At 50.9% G+C, this 22685-nt stretch overlaps 1 protein-coding gene and 13 non-coding genes across 14 annotated transcripts in view; all 14 read right to left on the bottom strand.

Moving 5' to 3' along the window:
* The window catches only part of LOC124903407 (mucin-2-like), a 28646-nt gene continuing 10393 nt past the window's right edge, over positions 4433-22685 (bottom strand). The window contains exon 5 of the mRNA XM_047432049.1: positions 4433-19262. Within this exon, the coding sequence (XP_047288005.1) occupies positions 18111-19262 (1152 nt within the window). The 3' untranslated portion in view covers positions 4433-18110. The remainder of the gene's footprint in view (positions 19263-22685) is intronic.
* On the bottom strand, positions 5079-5160 carry MIR495 (microRNA 495). Its single transcript, NR_030175.1, has one exon. It is a non-coding gene; the product is annotated as a microRNA 495 (primary transcript).
* MIR543 (microRNA 543) lies at positions 6851-6928 on the bottom strand. Its single transcript, NR_030619.1, has one exon. It is a non-coding gene; the product is annotated as a microRNA 543 (primary transcript).
* On the bottom strand, positions 8786-8863 carry MIR1193 (microRNA 1193). Its single transcript, NR_036132.1, has one exon. It is a non-coding gene; the product is annotated as a microRNA 1193 (primary transcript).
* MIR494 (microRNA 494) lies at positions 9201-9281 on the bottom strand. The gene has a single exon (NR_030174.1). It is a non-coding gene; the product is annotated as a microRNA 494 (primary transcript).
* Positions 11732-11815, bottom strand: MIR329-2 (microRNA 329-2). Its single transcript, NR_029968.1, has one exon. It is a non-coding gene; the product is annotated as a microRNA 329-2 (primary transcript).
* On the bottom strand, positions 12051-12130 carry MIR329-1 (microRNA 329-1). Its single transcript, NR_029967.1, has one exon. It is a non-coding gene; the product is annotated as a microRNA 329-1 (primary transcript).
* Positions 12808-12895, bottom strand: MIR758 (microRNA 758). The gene has a single exon (NR_030406.1). It is a non-coding gene; the product is annotated as a microRNA 758 (primary transcript).
* Positions 13098-13183, bottom strand: MIR323A (microRNA 323a). Its single transcript, NR_029890.1, has one exon. It is a non-coding gene; the product is annotated as a microRNA 323a (primary transcript).
* On the bottom strand, positions 13264-13351 carry MIR1197 (microRNA 1197). Its single transcript, NR_031713.1, has one exon. It is a non-coding gene; the product is annotated as a microRNA 1197 (primary transcript).
* Positions 13838-13898, bottom strand: MIR380 (microRNA 380). The gene has a single exon (NR_029872.1). It is a non-coding gene; the product is annotated as a microRNA 380 (primary transcript).
* Positions 15059-15121, bottom strand: MIR299 (microRNA 299). The gene has a single exon (NR_029841.1). It is a non-coding gene; the product is annotated as a microRNA 299 (primary transcript).
* On the bottom strand, positions 15495-15590 carry MIR411 (microRNA 411). The gene has a single exon (NR_030389.1). It is a non-coding gene; the product is annotated as a microRNA 411 (primary transcript).
* On the bottom strand, positions 16783-16849 carry MIR379 (microRNA 379). The gene has a single exon (NR_029871.1). It is a non-coding gene; the product is annotated as a microRNA 379 (primary transcript).

The following is a 22685-nucleotide window of genomic DNA, read 5'->3' as shown; positions in this document are numbered from 1 at the left end:
AAGGCACCTAATGACCAATGTCATGTAACTGTGGGCTGGAGCATCCTTCACATACCTTGGAGGGAGAAGGACACCCAAGAATCTTCCAGAGACTGAAGCTTGTGTCCAGAAAGTTTCAATCGGCAGGACTGGTCATGTTGGTGTGACAGACTGAGGAATAGGCAAACAGGTCAAAAACAATGTCTCTTTAAATACAACTGAGAGAGGTAGCAAAACATGATGCTCACCAGCCCCTACCACCACCACCCTCCACCACCACCACCACCACCACCACCAACACCACCAACACCACCACCACCAACACCACCACCACCACCACCACCAGTACCACCACCACCACCACCACCACCACCAACACCACCACCACCAACACCACCACCACCATCAGTACCACCACCACCACCACCACCACCAATACCACCAATACCACCACCACCACCACCATCACAACCACCACCACCAACACCACCACCACCAACACCACCACCACCAACACCACCAGTACCACCACCATCACAACCACCACCACCAACACCACCAACACCACCACCACCAACACCACCACCACCACCACCATCAGTACCACCACCACCACCACCACCACCACCACCACCACCACCACCACCATCAGTACCACCACCACCACCACCACCACCAATACCACCATCACCACCATCACCACCACCACCATCACCACCACCACCACCACCACCACCACCACCACTAATACCACCCTCCAAAAACAATGATCACAGCTTCCAGAAAAATCATTTTTGGGGTGGAGTGGATGCAGAGGCTTACTAAAATAGCGACAACACATGCCTCCCATAGCAAAAAATGAAGGACCAATAATCCCAGACTCAAACCCTATCTCGCAAGGGTGCCATCACTCCAGGAAGTGCCGCTAAAACGGCTTCAGTTCTGAGGACCAGGAGACATTTTCCACAAGCAAAGCGTATGCTCCATGTCCCACCCTCCATTCACATTCCACACACGGACAACCTACACCAATCTCACTTCTCTAAAGCTGGAACTGGTTCAAAAAAGTCTTGTACTTGAAAACCACTACTTCTCACACATGCAGAGTTAGACATTCCTCCTACTGGCGAATGGATCAGTGAGTGGACCAGATAACACCCATTGTCTGCTATTAGCCAGTCCCTCCCCTGCAGTCACAGCTTGTTGAGGAAGCAAGTCTGATCCCCCGAAGCCCCCAAGCACGATTTGGCATAAATAAAGCACGTCTACATGGACAAGCATTCTGCACATACCAGCCAGAGCAAGGCCACTTCCCCCAGGTCGGGGCTGCCTCCACGAGGCCCTGTTGAGAACCAGTGGGACATAGCTGGTTAGGGAATTGGACGGTCTGAGTCATAAACATGTATTCTGTGTGGCCAGACATCATTCGTGTCCCAAGGAGTGGGTCTTGCCAGGATGGTCCTGAAGGAGGGGGACATGTGATTGAGGAATAGCTGCTGGCTGGGCTTAGGGGTCTTCTTTTGGTAACTGAAACAGCGGCAGCCTGGAAGAGCTGGGGTAGGTGTAGTAACCAGCCAAGGAACTCTTCTTCCCCTGTGTTGGGAGAAAGGTCAGCCCACACACTGTCTCTTCCAAGGGGCTGGCATCCCTCCCTGAGGGGCCTGGCTAGGGTACCCAGGCTAGTGAACTGACACATCCGTGTCTGCCCCGGGCCCTCAGCTCTAGGTGCAGCTGACTCCCCAGGCCCTGCTGTGGGATGTGGCTGCAGCAGCCCTGCTCAGGACTTGTCCTTAATTGCATATGCCCCTAATTGGTTTCTTCCGCTTTTTTCACCTGCCCCCTCCCCACTTCCTCCTGGAATGGGCTTCCCTGATGGTACTTCCTCTGTGATTAACCATAAATCCTGTAAGCATAGAAGGAACATCCACCTTTTAGATGCAAAAAGTTGCTGGCCAGATGCAGTGGCTCACGCCTGTAATCCCAGCACTTTGGGAAGCCGAGGTGGACGGATCACCTGAGGTCAGGAGTTCGAAACCAGCCTGGCCAACATGGCAAAACCCCATCTCTACTAAAAATACAAAAATTAGCCAGGCACGGTGGTGGGTGCCTGCAATCCCAGCACTTTCGGAGGCTGAGGCGGGCAGATCACAAGGTCAGGAGAGCAAGACCATCCTGGCTAACACAGTGAAACCCCATCTCTACTAAAAATACAAAAAATTAGCCGGGTGTGGTGGCGGGCACCTGTAGTCCCACCTACTCAGGAGGCTGAGGCAGGAGAATGGGATGAACCCGGGAGGCGGAGCTTGCAGTGAGTCGAGATTGCGCCACTGCACTCCAGCCTGGGCAACAGTGTGAGACTCCGTCTCAAAAAAAAAAAAATCAGTTTGCCTCCCATGTAGTCACAAACATTCCCATCCTCCTCACGTATTTGCCATTTTTTTTTCCAGTGTATACCTATGTCCTCCCTATTCTTTAGAGTTTAAGCTTTGGCAATCAAGAGACAAGCTAGTGTATATTTTGCCATTCTTCTAAAACTCTGAAAACTGTGTTACACATGGTTTTGTTCATATTTCTTGGTCCATTTCTTAACAAGAAATTGGTGGTGTAGGACCTAACTTTTTATGTATAGATTTACCTTAGGAAACAGGATTATATGGTGATTCATTCAATAAAGTCTCAATTCTCAAAAGAAAAAACAAATAAAGGAAAACACTTGCCAGCTGTTCCACCATCTGCGCACATACCCTCTGCGAGGGGCTGACAGACACCCACACTGTGTTCCTGAACTTCACACCACGTACAGCAAGTCCTTCAAGGAGGCACTCAGTGCTTTAGGAGGTCCACTGTGGGGTATCTGCCACACACAGAGTGAACACATCACCAATAGCCTCCCTCCAACCATTCCTGGCCGGCTTCTGGGGTGCTGTCTCTCTTCCAGAGCCCAGGGTGTCCTCCTGCAAAGGAAACAGACGGCAAGGGTTAACACACAAGGATACGTACCATCAGAGATGCAAGGCTTCCTTGAGGCCCTCCTCTGACGTACCTGAGGTGATGGAGGCAACAGTGACCCTCTCCTGACATAAGCAGCAGTGAGAGCAGAATCCCCCCTCGATGGGAGACAAGGATCTGGTCGAAAGAGAACTGTCCATGTCGCGTCATCCAACAACTGTGCTTCCCCTTCCACAGGGGACTCAGAGCCAGTGTCCCCTCCAGAGGTCCTCAGGCTGAGGGTCCACCGGCCAAGTGGCACGTGTCATATACAGACTGTGGGGCCTGCCTTCTGCTCCCACAGCTGCACCTTCCCTGAAGTGGGCACCCCATCATTTAGAAAGGTGGCACTCAAATGAGTAAAACAGGTTGACTATGCAGGCCACAGCTTGGACAGCCTTTCTTGATGGAATGTCCTGACATGAAGACCGGTGCTGCTTCTCCAAAGTGTTTCTGCCACCGGGAAGTTCTCTGGAGGGAGGCCAGAGCCCAAAGGATGGGTGGAGCAGCTGCCCACTGTCTGAAGGGCACCTGCTGAGGCCAGCATGGTCCCAGTGTCACCAATGGACTGCCGTTAGCATCTCCTTCCAGAAGTGGGTTCTGACCTTTCCCGATGGCACATGATTCTCAAATAGAAGTGCACCATATTTTTCATCATAAATAAAGGGAAAAAACACAGATAACCTCTCCTCCAGTACCAAAGTGTAGCCCGGAGAGCAGTCCCACAGCCTCTAGTTCTGGCTGGCAGAGCTCCAGGAAGCCCTCCTGGGGGACAGGGATGCTGAGGTTCGGGGGACAGGGATGCTGAGGTTCAGAGGACCAGGTGGCCGTGGGGATGACGCGTATGCTCTCTGGGCAACACCCATCACTCACCCCAGAGAGCTGCTGATGCCACCAAAGCTCCCAGCTCAAACAGCCTTTCCCTTCAAGTGGGATTTGATACTGAAAAAAGAGTGGCCAAAAATGATTCGTCACAAATAAAATGAACACACTGGGGAAACCTCTTCTCTTCCAGGGCCCAAGGATGGACTGAATGTGGGGACTGGACACCCGGACAGCAGTGTCTTCGGGAAGGCATGTGTTCTGCCGTCAGCCATTGTTCACTGCTCCCGATTTGGGGCAGACACCAATGTCAGACACCATCTCTCTGATGCTGGTGATCAAGGAGCACATCTCTCAGAGGCAGAACTGGCACCTAGAAAGAGTGGGGCGGGGGCTGGGCGCACTGGCTCATGCCTGTAATCCCAGCACTTTGGGAGGCCAAGGTGGGTGTGGATCATGAGGTCAGGAGTTCAAGACCAGCCTGGCCAACATGGTGAAACCCCGTCTCTGCTAAAAATACAAAAAATTAGCTGGGCCTGGTGGCGGGCGCCTGTAATCCCAGCTACTTGGAAGGCTGAGGCAAGAGAATCGCTTGAACCTGGGAGGCAGAGGTTACAGTGAGCCAAGATCGTGCCATTGCACTCCAGCCCAGGAGACAGTGCGAGACTCTGTGTCAAAAAAAAAAGAAAGAAAAAAAGAAAAGAAAAGTAAAGAAAGAGCGGGGCAGGGAGGATTAGGCTCCAGTAAATCACCACTCTGAGAAATCCCATCTCCCAGAACCACAGGGACGCCTTCTGCCACAATTGCTACCCCCAATCAATTCTTCTGTGGAGGTGCGGGTGGCAGTCCCCCAGATGGCATGTCCTCATGTCCCCTTCAGCCATCCCCTCAAGCCTCTGGAGAGAGCGGATGGGGGCAGGGGTCTTCATTGCTTATTTGTTTTTGTTGTTGTGGCAGCTGCTTCCTTTTTTATTTTTTTCTTGGCTGCTATGATCTGAACTCTTCTCAAATGTTGGGGAACGCTTCTCAATGGAGCCTGGAAGTGCATCTCCCCAGCCTCCCTGGCAGCGGGGAACTGGCATGTGGTTGAGGCCTCGCCAACTGTGCCTGTCCGAGAGGTGGGCGTGGACTGAGGACTGAGGACTGAGCATGGTCCCTGAGCCCACCAACACACAAAGTCACCGAGGGGCTGCCAGGACAAATCCTCCATGTACATACCAAGAGAGGTAGTGACACCAGGTCCCATGCTCAGGGTCCCGTCGGGGATGGAGGCACTTCAAGGAGATATTTGATACCGAAAAAGAAGTGCACCATGTTTGTTTCGTCACATATAAAGCGAAAATAACATGGGCAACTTCTTTTCAGGTACCAGAGATGAGCACGTCCTCCCTGCCAGAGGCACACCTGGGCGTGAAGGGACACTGAGGGTCAGGGCGTGAGGGCAGGGCCGGGCAGACGCTGCCAATCAAACTTATGCTCAATTAAGCCTAAAAGCATCAGGTAAGTTGGCTCACCCCAGGGGAGGTGGGGGACATGCTTCGAAGGGCTGGGCTGACACTGAGCAGAGGCGGACAGTCATCACGGATAAAGCAAACCGATCCCAGACTCCCTCTACTTCGGGATCCCAGGAAGTCTTCATGGGCAGAATTCAATAATCAGGGCAGACGGCTTTCGGAATGTTTACTATCAACCCTGCAAATGCTCATGGAGAGCATCACTTCAGAGAAAATGGGATGGTCCTGGACCCAAAAATAGAATCTCCTCCATGAGCCCATGGTTCCAGGAAGGAGATGGGAAGACAAAGATATCGAATCAGGAGAAACAAACCACCAAGGCAGCCCCGGCTCTCGGTGGACCCATCTCTCTGTGCACCTTGCATGGTGCTGACCACTGCACCTCCTCTCTAAAGTGCTCCGGGTTCCCTGGAGGCATGGCTTGGTTCTAAAACACTGACAGTTAAGTGTGAGTTGTGACAAATACAGCCAACCCACAGAGAGCCAAAGGACAGCAGGGGCCAGGAAAGGACAACGGCTTCCCCAAGTCCACATCACTTGCAGGGCAGCCTCCCAGAGAGAGGTGGATTCGAGGGAGAGTGAATCGGGGCAGAAGTTCTGGGGCCCACCATCCATCAGGCCTTCCAGAGAGGACCCAGTGACCCATTGCTGGACACAAAACACGGTAATTGTGCATCATTTGTCAACCATAAATTAAATCACTAAGACAAAGCTTTGAAAGCATAAGTCCATAAGAAAAGTCACCTTCCACCAAAACCCTGCCTTAAATAGGACACTGAAGATAGATAGGCAAACCGTGAGAAACACATCATTGAAAAAAATGCAGGCTTTCCCAGTCACACTGGAAAACACACTGTGGTATCATCTGTTTGTATTGCAAGTAAGATAAGATCTAACTCCAACTGGCTTAAACAAGTAAGGGATTTATAGACGTATATAACTAAAAAGTACAGAGACAGAGCAAGCTTCAGGCAGGGTTTGATCTAGGGACTCAAATGATATCATCCAGGCTCTTCTCTAGGTCTCCAAGATGCCTTTCATGGTACAGACTCCCTCTGCTGTGTCTGCGTGGCACCAAGCCCTCTCCTCTCAGTCCTTAAACGGCTGTGGGACCTTCGAAGCTCACGTCAAAGTTCACTGTCTATTCCCAGCTGAATGGAATAGACAGTGTCTACTCTGGCAGCTATCACAGGAAAGGGAGAAACAGTTTCTTTCCCAGAAGCTGCAGCAAGCATCTCCTTGCCTATCACTGGCCCAGTGGGGTCATGGGCCTATTCCGGAAGCAATTGCAGTGGCAAAGGAGAAGAGATCAAGAGATTCGCTTAAGCCTGGGCTGGTGGAGGAAGTGGGGCAGGGTCAATGCAATCAAAGCACACGGCGGGAAGACGGGAGCTTTCATAAAAAAAAAAAAAAAAAAAAAAAACAAGGAGAAATTTAGGAAGGAGAAAAGACATGGGGTAGGGAGGTCCTGATCAGCGTCCACTACAGGGGCCCATGTGCCTTCCCTGAAGTTGCACCCAAACCAAGACGTCTTCAAGGCAGAATAGGATACTGAAAAAGAAGTGCACCGCGAATGTTTCGTCACAAATAAAGCGAAAAAAACACGGGCAACTTCTCATTAAGTACCGCACGTCAGCACCGTTGACAACACTGCTTCTCCGCGGCTGGTATCACTCCTGCGGGCTTCCTGAGAGCACATGGGTCCTGATGCGCACCGGGCAACCGGTGACAAAGATATGGCCGTGCATACAACCCCCTCAAGACCTGGGAGACATCTAACAGGTCTGCCCCCTCTGCACAGGTGGCATTGTGTCCTGGAGCTGCTTGTGAGCACGATGTGTTCAATTTCTCAATAACAAAAAGTCTCCTCCAGTAGCACAGAATATGACAATGGCACAGAAACAGTGATTTTGCATCCTAAAAGTCCTCCTGAGGATACATGAGGAGGGACCAGGAGAGTCACAATAACTCCCCAGATAAGATGGATGAGATCTACCACCCACCCTTTAGGGACAAACAGCAAAGTGTCTGCCCTGATGGAGCCTCTGAGCCAAGGGAGTCGTCATAGAATGGGTAGCGCAAGGGATTTTTTAACATTTGCCTCAAACAGATGGAATGACCAGGGGTCCTGGCACAGCGTCACCACTGTCGATCAGCCTGAGCCGGAGAAGAGCCCCCGGGGCAGACCGGAAGCTGCGGGTTAGGGAGGGATGAATGAGCAATGAATAAAACCCAAGTTCTCAGGTGGTCCACGTGGACAACTGACTTGGTGGTGGCAAATCCTCACCGGTTCCTGCATTCACACCTCACCACAACCCCCTCCCGGGTGGAGTGGGCCTCCCCGCCCCTTGCCTTGGGTTCGGCCGTGTAATTGTTCTGGTCAATGATCTGTGGGTAGAAATATAGCAGTTCCCAGCCTTGGCCTTAAGGAGTTTCTGCGTTTCTAATTACTTTCTTGTGCCTCTGCCGTAGCCATGGGAGCATACCAAGGCCGGGGTGAGAGCTGTGGGTCCCAACTTCAGCCCTCAGGGCAGGCCTTCTCTCCACAAGCCATCCTAGGTATGGGAGGGAGACTGAGGATGAACGGACCAAGACACACACCCGAAATAGAATGTCTGCTCTCAGACAAGATGTCCACTCCCATACCTCTCCATGGACCTGACGCCAACAGCCCTCCCCTGAAGCGCGTGTCACAGCCGGGACACATCTTCCGCAGTCTGACACTGAGGGCATCCAGGGCATCTGGGGCCTCGTAAGGCAAGCAGAGCTGAACAACAGACAGAGATGAGCAACGGCAACAAAGCCCTTTCCCCAAGCATGGACTGAACGCTGCCCACGAAGCGGCTGGATTCTGAGTGGTCCCAACACAGGAAGGGCTCATCTCAATCACGCTGCCAGCTCCTCAGTCCCCCATCCACGACTCACCAGGAGTGCTGCTGACACCAGTGGCCCTGCCGGAATCTAGCTTCATGTCCAGGAAGTCCTCCTATGGAAAAGAGATGGGCCACGTAGCATTCATCAAACACATGGCAAGCTTTGTCAGACAGCCTCTCTTCATGTAGCACAGAATAAAGTGGCCCTCACTACCACAGCTGTCCCAACGCCTGCCCTGTCCTGCACACACACAACACTCCTCAAACCCTTCCGAGGATAAACCACACCCCTGTACCAGGTCACACACACACCTCCTGCAGTCAGCATGTGGTGTGGGGTGGGACTTTCCCTGATGGGGCACTGAAGCCCAGGCCTCTGCAATCCTGGCATTGTCTGTGGCCAGACTATCAGCCCTCCTGGGCAGGATTTGAAACCAAAAGAGAGATTATTCACTGATGATTGCTTATATTGATTTTAACGAGGTAGGAGGAGGGGGCCCCGAAGGGAAACCCCTCCTAAAATCCTGCAGAGTCCCACGGGCCCCACGTCCTCCCACATCTTCTCCGAAGTTGCCATGTGCACCAAGATGTCATCCCACAGATGGACCGGGCGCTGGTGGATAGTCAAACGGGTGACCTACATCGTAAATGAAGTGCACGTCACCGGTCTACCATCCCCTCAGCTACCCTGGAGAGCAGATGGCACCATCGTCCCTTCAATGACGTTGCTAGCGTGTCCAGAAGGCCATCCAAGCAAGATCTCACACTGAAGAGGCGCCACCCACCGTGAATCAACAAATAGACAAACACCACAATGAGCAACCTCCTTCAACCACAGAAGCACAGGCCCTTCTCCAAACTCAGCTTCCCCTCCTAGGGGCCCTCCATGGCTGGGGCCTGAGAGCCACACCCCCACGACGCATGGCACGCTGTCAGCCTCGCTTGCGCCTACCGAGAGTGGAGCCGGCAACGTCCCTCCCTGAAGGCTGCATCAGGAACAGGAAGTGCCTCCAGGGTGGGATTTGATACTAAAAAAGAGGTTTCCCGTGTATGTTTCATCATAAATAAAGAGAAGACAACACGGACAACCTCTCCTTCGAGTATCGAAGATTAGCACTGATCAAAAAACAAACAAAAAAAATCAAAACAGAACTGCCGAATCTTCGCCGATGTTGGTGTCACCTCCAGGAAGATTCCCCGAATCTACATGGCACTGGGTAGACCAGACGTCAGATGGCTTCTATTTGCGTGTCCCAGGTTGCTTTTGGGAAGTCAGCCAAAAGCTCTTCAAGCCTTCACAATGAAAAGAGGTTGCCCGGGAAACATTTTCCGCCAATACAGAGAACACTTTAGGTACAACCTCTTTCCAGGTATTGGAGCTTTCCTGACGGTGGAACCAGGGTTTCCTTGTGGAAGTCCAGGCCACGGGAAGTGCCCCTAGTCATAATGGTTTGCATCCCAAAGTCAGTGCGTCAAGAGAGCTCATGAGTAAATCTCGAATTCTGTGGTCAAGAAGCAGGTGGCTGGGTCTGCAGTTAGCCGGTGCCCAGGCCCCTGTGTGGCACTGGCCATGGGTCCAAGCAGCCTTCCAGGCAAGGTGTGATTCCAAAAACAGATACATGGCACCGAGGAAGCTGTAAGCAAAGTGAGTGCCTGCTACACACGGCTAGGGAGGGAGGGTCGGGGAAGCCAGGAGCACCGCCAGGCCACCTTCCTCCAGGTCAAATCCCACTTAATGCCTTCTGCTGCCTTCAATCCAATTCAGCAGAATCAAGAAATAAAAACGAATCTCATTTCCTGATGTGAGCTCCCCAAATGTTTTAGCCAATTCTGGGCCGGATTTTCTGTTTGCTATAAAACTCCTTTGACAATAATTGTTTTCATGGTGGGGGGAGTACTGTTATCTCCAGACTCTTTTGCATCTCAACAGAGAGTTAGATCAATCCTGACAGGGCTGGGGAGAATCAGGGGTCAGAAAACTTCAGGTTTCCTCTTACAAAGTTGTAAAATTGTGCCCTCTTTTCCCCCGAAGGTGGACCCCGGAGCAGAGGTCTGAGAAGAAAATCCCAGGGCCAGGCTGCGGCTCTGCACCCTTGCCACCTGTCCTTTGACCCCTCCGTAGCCAGCAGAGCACCCAATCTACATGGACCCAGCAGCCGCCTACCCTGGATACCCCGGAGGCAACAGCATACTGCCTGCTGTCACATGGCCTTGACACACTCTCTCTGCCCTCTCTTTATGAGGGCTCTTTTCGGCTGGAAGGAACGGTGTTTGGGTATCAGCTAATAGGAAGGATTGGTGGCGGAGGTCATTGGTGCTACCTCATATGTTCTCTCTGGTTATAAAAAGCAGGGTTGACATGGAAATACCTGGCCCTTCTCCAGAACCTGAGGCCCTCCTCCCTCACAGTCCCATCCCCAAATGCCACAGATGAGCCGAGGACCCACAGTCACAGCTAAGTGCCATCAAAACAAATGCAGCACCAGCAAAACCTACTTCTGTGCCTTGGCTTTAGAGCTGGCAGGGAGCCTTTTCCTTCCCCAGAGGCTGGCATCACCTCCAGGAAGTCCTCCTGGAAAGGATCGGGCACCAAGCATTACTGCCAGACAGGACGCTTAGAACAGGGGAAGCACCCATCTCGGCCCACTCACCCTGGCCTGGGCCTGACAACTGTCTTATCCGGAAGCCTTCCAAACTGGTGTTTGATACTGAAGAGTGGTCCACAGAAATGATTTATATAAAAGAAACAGATATGCCAAAGGAAACCTCTCCTTGAGCACCCCAAAGAAGGACCATCTGCAGAAACACAACCCTGAGGGTAGGTCAGATGTGCTGGTCAGTGGAGCAGGTGTGTTCCTGGGGAGGTACATGCCCCGTGGTGGGCCATCCACTCCCTTCCCCTGGATCAGGGCTGGTGACAATGCCCTCCCTTCAAGCTGGCATGACATCAAGGATTCCTCCAGATTTAAAGGAAGTCAACTCCACAATTCCTGTGAGAAATAAACAGGTCTCAACCTGGGCCAATTCCAGGGCCCCCAAGGTCTCCTCTTGACCTCAGAATCAGCTTTTCTTCCCTAAGGTGTCATTATATCCAGGACATCCTTTCAGAATAAACTGCAGGCTAGGGGCAGGCGTGCAGGACACCTGCACTATCTGTCCAGGGCATGCTGGCATTCCCCTGCTGTGGGCTGGGCTCATTCAAGCCCATCACTGAGTGTGGCAAGGACGAGGCATCCCCCTACAGCAGGGTCAGATGCCGAAAGAGCCTGAATTACACACACGATCCGTTGGGAGCACAACGAAGGCAACCACAGACAACTCACCTGCATGTTCCGTGACACTGTCGTGGTGACACTGTCTTCCCCCAGGCTGCCATCACATTGAAAAGTCCTCCTAAGAAGGGATAAGACATTGAGGGTTAGCGCAATCGGTGGCAAAATTCAGAAACATGGGGCACGCTTAGTGATCAGCCATTTGCTCGTGTCTCCTTATTTATGTCCACAGCACCCCTTCCCTGAAGCTGAGGTCTGGACCAGAAGGCCTCCAAGATGGGATTTGATACTGGAAAAGAGGTTAACCAGGTGTGTTTCGTCCTCAATAAAGAAACAGAAACCCAGAAAACCTCTCTTCAGGTACCACCAAGTAACACTGACAAGAACACCACTGATTCCTTCCCCAAACTTGACATTCAGTCCTGGAAGTCCTGTTAAATACGGATTGGACACTGGGGTTAGTAGAACAGATGACATCAGTCAAAATAATACAGCACAGGCTTCGTGGTTAACCATAGATTTCTGTCCAGTGGACTGGAGCTGAGAGTAACGCCCTTCCCTGAAGCTGAGGTCTGGACCAGAAGGCCTCCAAGATGGGATTTGATACTGGAAAAGAGGTTAACCAGGTGTGTTTCGTCCTCATTAAAGAAACAGAAACCCAGAAAACCTCTCTTCAGGTACCACTGATTAACACTGACAAGAACACCACTGATTCTTCCCCAGACTTGACATTCAGTGCTGGAAGTCCTGTTAAATATGGAATTGCACACTGAGCGTTAGTTAGTTGATTTGCCGGAAGAAGCCAAGAGTTGGATGCATGCTGCTTGCCAACCATCTATCCAAGTACCCCAGTGGAGCAGACCCCACATCACGTCTGGAAGTTGACATCACAGCCAGAGGTGGTGATGCCATAAAAAGGCTGGTCACAGCAGCTATCGCGTTTAGGGTTAACCTCCAGGGCCATCTTTTCTCAGTTACTCAAGAGAGGCACAGATGCCCCAAAGCAAGGCTGACTCCACCAAAGGTCCTGCTAAGGACCCAGTGGAGACTGAGGTGTGACGGGCCAGGCGACCTTGGTTGTAAATTAAAGTGCATACACTCAGGTCAGCTGATCACTGGAGGACTTTGGGATGGTATAGACAGCATGCCCCTTCCCTTGAACTTGGATGCCTCCACATCTAGGAAGCCCTCCAAGGAAAGAGATCGGAGTGAAAATCAGTCCAACTCAGCCACATTTGGCATACATGTCGCAAACGCCTCGCAGATGCTCTCTTCAGAGTCTAACAGAGTGCAGCTGGCCCCAGTTTACTGTCTCTTTCCCAAAAAGTTGACACCTCTTCCAGGAAGTTCTCCAAGGGGGCATTAGATACTGAGGGTTAGTGGACCAGGTCACAAACGGCACAAATAAAGCGTGTGCTCTCTGGTCAACCATCTCATGTATCCAGGCACGTGCTGACACCACGCTCCTTGTCCGCAAGTTAACCCTGCTGCCAAGCCAGAGCAGTGTGCTGAGAAGAAGGCTGCCACACGTGAGTTATCGTCACACACAAGACAAACACATCACAAACCCCGCTGGGTCACACTGAGCGCAGACCTAGTGGCCCCCACCCCCGCAGTTGATGTTAGCTCCAGGAAAGCTTGCAAGGCGGGATTAGATACTGCAAAGAGGTCGACCGTGTAATGTGCGCCATAAATAAAGCGAACGCGCCACGGACCACCTCTCTCCAAGTACCAAGCAGCAGCCGTACTGACACCAGGACAGTGGCTCTTCCGCAAAGCTGATATCACCTCCTGGAAGTCTTCCAAGGCGAGATGTGATATTGAGAAGAAGTAGACCATGTGTCCTACGTCACAAATAAAGCGTACACACCATGGTCAACCGCATCTTCAAATACCAGGAAGTGACGCTGACCCCTGGCTCTCTTCCTTTCACCTGCTATCACCTCCAGAAAGCCTCACAATGCGCATCATGAACTACCAGCCACCGGCAATGTGGCAATGACCACAAACCCACATCCAATGCCACTACCACCTCCAGGATGCCCTGTAAGGGTGGGACCGGTACTGAGTTCTTGGCTGGTGGACCAAATGGCCAATGTAATAAATAAAGGACTGGGTCTGCAGCCAACCACCCGGTGACCTGCACTGCACCCTGGCTACCACTCAGGCCTGGCTCTCAAGTCGGCATGGCCTCCGGGAAGCCCCAGGGCTGGCTGATACTGAGAATGAGTGGACCATGCTACATCTGTCATTCAACAATGCATATGCTTTATGCTCTACCATCTCTCCAAGTACTGTGGAATGGCGCTGAAGCCAGATCAGTGTGTCTCCCACGAAGGTGACTTTGCCTCTCTCTGGGAAGCCCTCTATGACTGAATTTGATATTGAGAAGATGTGGACCATATTACATACGACACAGAGATAGCGCATGTTCTATGGTCAACCATCTTTTCAGGTACCTTGGAGAGGGCTGAGGTCAGAGCCGGTGTCTCTTTCCTCTCACTAGCATCACCTCCAGGAAGCCCTCTGAGGCCTGATGTAGTATTGAGAAGAGGCCACCATGCAATGTCTGCCGCAGATGCAGTGGACGCAGCACAAAGGAGCCCCTCAAGAATGGAGATGATGCTGGAACTAGTGCTATGACTGACACTCGTTCCTGCCTACAGAAAGCCCCCCGAGGTGCACGCTGTTATAGGAAGGTGGACGAAGTAACATGCGTTGTAAGTAAAACATATGAAGCATGGCCAACTTCTACTAAGTACCCCGAGGCAGTACTTGTACCAGAACTGGTGCTTTGTCTCCTAAGCTTAACATAACCTCCCTGGAGACTTTCCAGGCTGAATGGGATACTTCAAAAGAAGTAGACCATGTTACATACGTCATGGGGAAAAGACATGCAGTGTGGCTGAACCCTTTTCAGGTACCGTGAGGTCAGTGAAGAGGCCAGAACCAGTGCTCTGTCCCTGAGGCTGGCAGCTTCTTCAGCAAGTTCTCCAAGCAAGGGTTCTGGGATGGAGATAGGGAAGAAGTGGGCCATGGAGGCACTTCCTCTGTAAACATACACGATGGGGTCGAGCAGCTCTTCATGAGGATCAGTGCTGAGTCCAGAGCTGGGACATCTTCCCCCGAGATGGCTAGACTTGAGATGGAAAAAAGATAGACTGTACACGCATCAGCAAAGACAAAAACGAGTCAGTGCGTCTTCAAGTACCTGGAGTGGCATCATCTCCTGGACCCATATCTGCTCCTACATGGGCGTACTGTCCTGAAGTCATCTGAGGAGGGCTCTGAGGATGAGAGGTGACCTGTTTCACATCCCTCGTTCATGAACATTTGCGGCACCAGCCACCGTTTCTTCAATTACTCCAGAGGGATGTGCCAACGTGGGCAGTAGGACACCTTCCTGGAGGTCATCCTTGTCCTGAGGAAGTCACTGGAGGCTGTGTTTGGCACTGAGGAGAAGACCGCATCACAAGCATTGACAGAGAAAGCACACATCTAAGAGTCTACCATTCCACCAAGTGCCATGGCATGGCGGATGCCGAGACCCGTGGCTCTCCTCTAACTCCAGGCTTTCTCCAGGGAGGTTTGGATGGCTGGGCTGGATACCAAGAAGCGGTTTACCATCCCACATACATATTCAAAATGTATGTGGGACGGTAAACCATTTCTTCAAGTACCGCACGATGGTGGTGGTGGTGGCTGGAAGAAGGCTCATGTCCACGAAGTTGCCTGAGGGCGCTTCTTCTAGGCTGCATTTGACGCTGAGAAGAAGCAGGTCACGGTGTCTACTGAATAAGCGTAGCGTAGTCAACCACGTCATTGAGCACCATGGAATGGCACTGATTCCGGGAAGAATCAAGGTCTCCTCCCCAGGGATGGCGCGATTTCCCAAGGCAGAACTTGATTTAAGAGGAGCGAGATTATGCCATTTTGCATCATGCAGAAAAACACATGCCATACAGAAAATCATCTCTTCGGGTGTCATGGAGAAGTGGTGGTGGGTCCAACCGTTCCTCCCCGAAGACAGCGTTGTTTCCAGGAGCCTCGGGGATGGATTTGATACTGAGGGTTAGTGGACCGTGTTACATACGTCACAGATAAAGCGTACGCTATACGGTCTACTATCTCTCCAAGTACCACACAGAGATGCCGAGGACAAAGGCTCAGGACACATCCAGAAAGCCCTCCAAGGCCTTGAGCTGGGTGGAACCAGAAGGGAGGTTGAGCACAGCACATGCATCATGCGACAAGCACACACAGGCCAGGAGTCTCGTCTTCATGGTCGGGGGTTGACATGAATGCTCGAAGCAGTGGCTCATCCCCAAAACTGGCAACTCCTCCAGGAAGCCCTTCGAGGCCGAAAGTCCCACTGAGAAGAAGTGGACGATGATATGGATTTCATCACTCCATAAATACTGATTAAGTGCCTGCTGTGTGCCAGGCGCACTGTGCTGGGTCTGAAGGAGTGGGTAGATGGGAGGGAGGACATGGCACATGGCTAACAGAGCTGGTTAGGGGAGTGGGGAGAAAATCAGAAATACAAAATGGCCCACGTGCAACCAAAGAACATCCATCTAGTTACACTAACCAGGCCAAGGAAACAGTACTGGGCACCTGAGGCCCAGATCTTACCTATTAGTGAGCTCTAGTCTTGGGCATTAAAAAAAAAAAAAAAGTGCCCTAAGGCCATATCTGCCTCAATACCAAGGGCATTTCCAGGAGGTCCTCTTAGGTTGGATTAGATTCTGAGCAGTAACCACCATGCCATCTTCATGAACAAAGCAGGAGTTGTTTTGGTCAACCACCTCCCTAAGGACAGAACCACTGTCTCATTCCCAGACTTGGCACTGCCTCCGGAAAACCCTGAGACTGAATGTAAGATTGATCAGAGGTGGACATTGGTATAAACAGAAAACTTCAACACAGGAAAGCAACTCTTCAATGCCACACAGCGGAATGAAGGATGGACTGGTGGGTCCCCCTGAAGGTAGTATTGGCTCCACGAAGCCCTCCAAAGCTGGCAGGCTACTGGGAAGTGGTAGCCCATCTCACACAAATCCCTCCTTTCGCACAGGCCACATGGCAAATCATCTCTTCCAGAACCACGGCTGAGGCTGGAACCGGTGTCTTGAGCCCAAGTTGCATCACTTCCAGAAAACTCCCCAGAGAGTGCATTTAGTGCCCAGAAGAGCCAGGCCTTGTTGCACAAGTCAGACATCAACCATGAGCCACAGAAATTGCCGTGGAGCAGTGCTGAAGCTAAACCACGTGTTCTCTTCCCTGAAGTTGGCAACACCTCCAGGAAGCCCTCCGAGGATGGATTGGATACTGAGAGTTAGTGGACCATGTTACATAGGTCAGAAATCATAACGCCTACGTTCCATAGTCTACCATCTCTTCAGGAACCACGGAATGGTGCTGACCCCAGAACCAGGGCCTTGCCCCTGAAGTTGGCGTCACTTCCAGAAAGCTTTCTGAGGCTGGATTTGGCATTGGAAGCAGGCACATGGTGAACATAAACAACCCCTCCTCCAATGTGGGGCAGTGGCATTGATGGGGGAAGGGGTGCCTCTACCCTAAGTGGTAATTCCTCCAGGAAGGCCATGTCAACTTGGAAAGACTGCGACAAGGCAAAATGTACAATACTGACCATGCTTTGGCCATTATGTGGTCAACTATCTCTTCATCAAGATAAAGGGCAGTGTTTTGTTCTGCATGGCAAATGGGACACTCCAAGAGCACAGTTCATCATATAAAAGGGGACCCTCAACCTCTAGGTAAAAACTTCCCTAGCTCACCCAAGTTCCGATGGTCCTCGCCATGCTCTAGACCACCTTTGGAGACTCAAACCACAGAGCTGAGTGGGCAGTGCGTTCCTCCAGCTCCTGATTAACCTCTCCACCTCCTTCAGGAGGTCTTCCTTGATTTTCTCCATCCCCTTTCATGGCACAACTATCCCATGTGAATGGAATGCAAAGCAATGATTTGTTAGCCTCCAGGGAAAGGACAAGGGCAGAACCCTCAGCAGCCCTGCAGGACAGCTCGGTTGTCCTCTAAAGTCCTGAACCCCAGTGTAGACGGGGCCCTGCAACTCAGTTGTTGAAGTCCTAACTCCTTAGGAAGTCATTCAAGGCATCATGCTCCCCTGCTCCCTCCAAGTGTGAGCTAGTCTAGTCTAAGAGATTACCCTCCATACCCCGTGCATTGTCCACATGCCTTTGCTGGCACTACTCCTCCACCCAGACCCCGTGTCTGCTTACATCTCTCTGAAGCCCAACCAAATGGCAGTTCTTCCACGAGCCCGACCCCACCTCAGCCAACTCAGGCCTTTGCATCCCTGACCCTCCACAGCACCCTGCCTGCACCTCTCCTCCAGCCCACTCACATTTTCCATGTGGTCACTCGTAGAAATAAACTTGTGTTTACTGAACATCTGTGAGGTGCTGGAGCTAGACCAGTAAATAAGACACAGTCTCTGCCTTCCTGCAGCTGCTAGCGTTGTGGGGAAAACCAACATTAAAGTAGTTATTGCAGAGAATTGGTTTCAAAATGTGAGGAGGCCAAAGTGTTGTGAAGGAGCAGAGAGCATTTAACAAGAGGCTCTCGCCAATCAGGAAAACTTCTCAGAAGTTTAGATTAGAAGATAAAGGATGAGGGGACTAAGCCAAGAAGAGAGAGGACAAGAGTGGACACTGTAGGGTAAAAGCAGAGGACCAGATGGAGCATGGACTGGATGGAGCATGGGTCAGATGAACATGGTCGGGGTGGACAGTGGACTGGATGGAGTATGGACTGGATGCAGTATGAACTGGATGGAGTAGTGGTCGAGGTGGGGCGTGGATTGGATGGAGCGTGGTCTGTGTGGGGCATGAACTGGATGGAACATGGACTGGATGGGGTGTTGACTTGGGGGAGTGTGAACTACATGGGGTGTGGTCTGGATGGAGTAGTGGTCTGGATGGGGTGTGGACTGGATGCAGTGTGACTGGATGGGGTGTGGTCTGGGTGAGGTGTGGTCTGGATGGGGTATGGTCTGGATGGGGCGTGGATGGTCTGGGTGAGGTGTGGTCTGGATGGGGTATGGTCTGTATGGGGCGTGGACTGGATACAGTGTGGTCTGGATGGGGTGTGGACTGGATGGGGTGTGGACTGGATGGGGTGTGGTCTGGGTGAGGTGTGGTCTGGATGGGGTGTGGACTGGATGCAACGTGGACTGAATGGGGTGTGGTCTGGATGGAGTGTAGACTAGAAGGGGTGTGTACTGGATGGGGTGTGTACTGGATGGGGTGTGGTCTGGATGGGGTGTGGACTGGATGGGGTGTGTACTGGACAGGGTGTGGACTGGACGGGGTGTGGACTGGATGGGGTGTAGACAGGATGGAGTGTGGACTGGATGGAGTAGTGATCTTGATGGGGTGTGGACTGGATGGAGTGTGGACTGGATGGAGATTGGTCTGGGTGAGGTGTGGACTAGATAGATGGACTGAGGTCTGGATGCAGTGAGGACTGGATGGAGTAGTGGTCTGGATGGTGTGTGGTCTGGATGGGGCATGGACTAGATGGTGTGTGGTCTGGATGGGGCATGGACTAGATGGTGTGTGGTCTGGATGGGGTGTGGACTGGATGGGGTGTGGTCTGGACAGGGAATGGACTGGATGCAGTGTGGACTGGATGGGGTGTGGTCTGGATGGGGCATGGACTGTGTGCAGTGTGGACTGGATGGGGTGTGGTCTAGATGGGGTGTGGACTGGATGGAGTGTGGCCTGGATGGGGTGTGGACTAGATGGGGTGTGGTCTAGATGGGGTGTGGTCTAGATGGGGTGTGGACTGGATGGGGTGTGGACTGGATGGGGCGTAGACTGGATTGAGTATGAACTGGATGGAGTGTGGTCTGGATGGAGCATTGCAACCGAAAGAGTATCCATGTGAATTGAGCGTGGGGAGCCAGAAATGTGCCAGAAGTGAGTCTGAGGATCTGGGTGGCACCAGATCATTCAGGACCTTAAAACAAAGGTAAAATTCCGACTTCTCTTCAGGCTAAGGGGAAGCCATTATTAGCTGATAAAGGACATCGCGAGCTTCCTATTTTTACAAGATTTCTCTGGCTGATGTGAAATCTCTGGCTGATGTTGCTGGGAGTAGGAGCAGGAAGAAAGAGTACAGAACCCCAAAGAGAGGATGGTAGGAGTCATGGAGACAGGAAAGCGGCCATGTTTCCGAATATTTAGGAAGAAGAGCACAAGAGACTTGGCAACAGCCCAGATGTGGACAAGGCATGGTGGGTCATGAGAAAACATGGGATGTCCCTGCGGGTGTCTGGCCTGGGAGCTGGCCGAGGGTGGGGCCGCTCTTGGAGCTGGGGGTCACTAGATGAGGACCACGTGCTGGCGGGGCACACTTAGTTTTAAGTGTGCTGAAGTTGAAGTGCCACCAAGAAATCCGAGTGGAGATTCTGAGTTGCCAGTTGGTGGAGGCCCCTGATGATCTGTACCTAGCTCTCTGGGTGGAGTGGTGGGGTTGGGAGCCACAAAGAAGTGAGATACAGAGAAGCCGCCAAGAAGATGGCAGGTAGGTGAGGGGAGCTAAGGCGGATTCTTGAGGTATCTAAACATAAAGGGACTAGAACATAAGAGCCAAGGGGGAGGCTCCAGTCGGGGGGCGGGTGGGGAACTCACTCAGGTCCCCCCTTGGTATGGGAACTCCTCTGGGGCAGGAAAGGGCTGTGCTGGCCTCAGCTTTGTACCCCTAGTTCCCAGCACAGGCCGTGCATGCCACAGCATGGTGAGGAAGGAAGGAGTACAAGAGATAGACCCCAAAAGCATCCATGTCCTCCTGGAGAAATTGGCCTGGGTCCCCACTAGCCTCTTGGGTATCTAGAGAGGTGGGTGGACCCACCTTCTCACCCAGCCTCCCAACACACCAAACTTGGGCCTGGAAGCTCCTGCTGACCACAGATGGCTGGCAACCCTTCTCACTCCCCAGACCCCAGTCACTGTTCCACTCCCTCATCCATCCTTTCTTGCAAAGGTGCACAGATTCATCCACTCCTGCACACACCCCTCTCCCTGAAGAACCCACTCCTCCGCAGAGTCATCCGCTCCTCAGCTACGCATCCTCCCATTGGCTCGCTCAGGTACTCTCTCGGATACTCAACCATCGATGCATTTTCTAGCATGCCTTGCGCAGAGGCTGAGACTGACTCAGTGCTCCTGCCTTCCAGGGGCTCAGAGGCTGGATAAGGGAAAAACAGATACTCAACCCACATGACGTTGATCAGTTAATTCAGAGTGCATGAAGTGGTAGGATTCAAGGTCTACACGATCTATAGTCCAGAAACAGTAAGTAGCCCCACCTACTGCGGGGGGGCAGACCACAGAGGCAGAGAGAGGCCATTTGTGCCCCCCAAAGCACATGGCACAGGACTGGGGGGGATGGTGAGTAGAGAAGGCAGGGATAAAACTCAACACCTTCCTTAGCGTTTGGGAGGGCGTAACAGTGGGAGGAAAGGGAGGAAGCAGATGAATATGAAACTTAATTATTCCACAAAGGGCAAAGTCAGAGAATACTATTTCATTTGTTACCATAGAGAAATAATAGATGTAAGCGTAGTTTTTCAAAAATTGAAATGTAAGCACTAACAGACATAGAAGCTGGTTATGTACTTTCCAAATCACAGAGAAAATTAAAATTTAAAAAAAATGTAGTCTCTGTGAGATAACAAAAGATAGCAGGGAAAAAAGGGTGAAAAAAATAAAACAAGCATTAAGTACATTTTTGTTTTTAAGCGCAAACATGACAAATAAGACACAAAACGTAAATGGGTTACACATCCTTTCCAAAAAGAATGCTCAGTTTGGGTCAAAAGACTCCAACTGAAACTATATGTTTTCTATCTGAGACACAATTTAAATAAATTAACTCAAGAAAATTCAAAGTTGAGGGATGGCACAGATAAATAGGATGGCCTCAATTTCCATGCACTGGAATCCCAGGCAGCCCACACAATCATGCACTGACATCCTCCAAACCACGGAATGCAGACAGAAGCTGACTGCCAGCAAGCAGTCAATGGCACCCCCAGTTTTGCCTACATAGCCATTTTTTTTCAGTTTGCTTGTGCAATTTTAAATATTTCTTTGCAGAGGCTTTCAAAGGGTATTCTCAGGGGCATTTGGGGTCCCCCATAGCATTTTAAGGAGGGTGCCCAGCACCAACAGCTTGGGGTCACAGCACAGCCCTGAAACAAGGCAGCCCTGACTTGATCTATTTTACTTATGGGGCTTCTGGGTAATATTTGGTCTGAATAAAGGGTTTGGCTGCCTTTGAAAGCAAGTATTTAATTACATTTTGCTCCCATTGTTTTATAAATAAGTGGAAAATGGAAAAACAAAGTTGCTGATACCTGTGGTAAGAGCACCGATCTCCTATATACTTAAGAAATTAGTATAAACATGGACATCGTTAGGCGGACCCAACGTGGCCAGTCCTTGGCCTTGATAATTGAATTTAAGGCAGTCGACTGAGTGTTTGAAAAGAACAAAACTAAAGAACATCCATGGAATGTTAGAAATTGCCTGGAAGATTGAGCTCTCGAGGAGCAAAATTCTTTGGAACATGCAAGTCTCCAGTTCAACTTTCAAACAACACTTTGCAGAAACAATTACATGAGAAAGTGAGGCTACCTAGCTTAGGAACACAAATGAAAAGAAAACAGATGTGCTTCTGTGATTTCAGGTCATTAAACACCTCTCTGAGGGGGAAGGTATAATCCACAACAATGACATAGCATTCATGAACATTTGCATTAGAAATAAAATAGCACCAAAACAAGGAAAAAGAATAGAAACATCGTATCCAAAACTCTTCCAGTCCTAAAAATATCAAATAAGTAAGAAGTCAGTGATGAACATACCTCAAATCTAGAAGCAACAACAAACTTAACAGAACATGAGAAAAACAGGAAAGAAGCCCCTTCATCTCATCAACATTAGGTCACCGTCCAAAAAGTTCCAACCAATGTAATGAAACAAACAAAAACCAGGTACATCCAGTAAACTCTTAGATTGAGATTCAAAATACGGTTGCTTATAGATTATGTAATTCTTTACTAAGAAAATCCAAATAAAGACTAAAAAGCTAATAAAACTAAATGTCTTTACATCAAAATCCATACCTTATAAACAAGTACATCCTACTTTTAAATGTCCACAAAAATCATTTACAAAATCAATTAT

The sequence above is a fragment of the Homo sapiens genome, chromosome 14 (assembly GCF_000001405.40).
Source record: "Homo sapiens chromosome 14, GRCh38.p14 Primary Assembly".
NCBI classification, from domain to species: domain Eukaryota; kingdom Metazoa; phylum Chordata; class Mammalia; order Primates; family Hominidae; genus Homo; species Homo sapiens.
The sequence above is the reverse complement of the archived record's forward strand: the minus strand, read 5'-3'. Positions and strand labels throughout refer to the sequence as shown.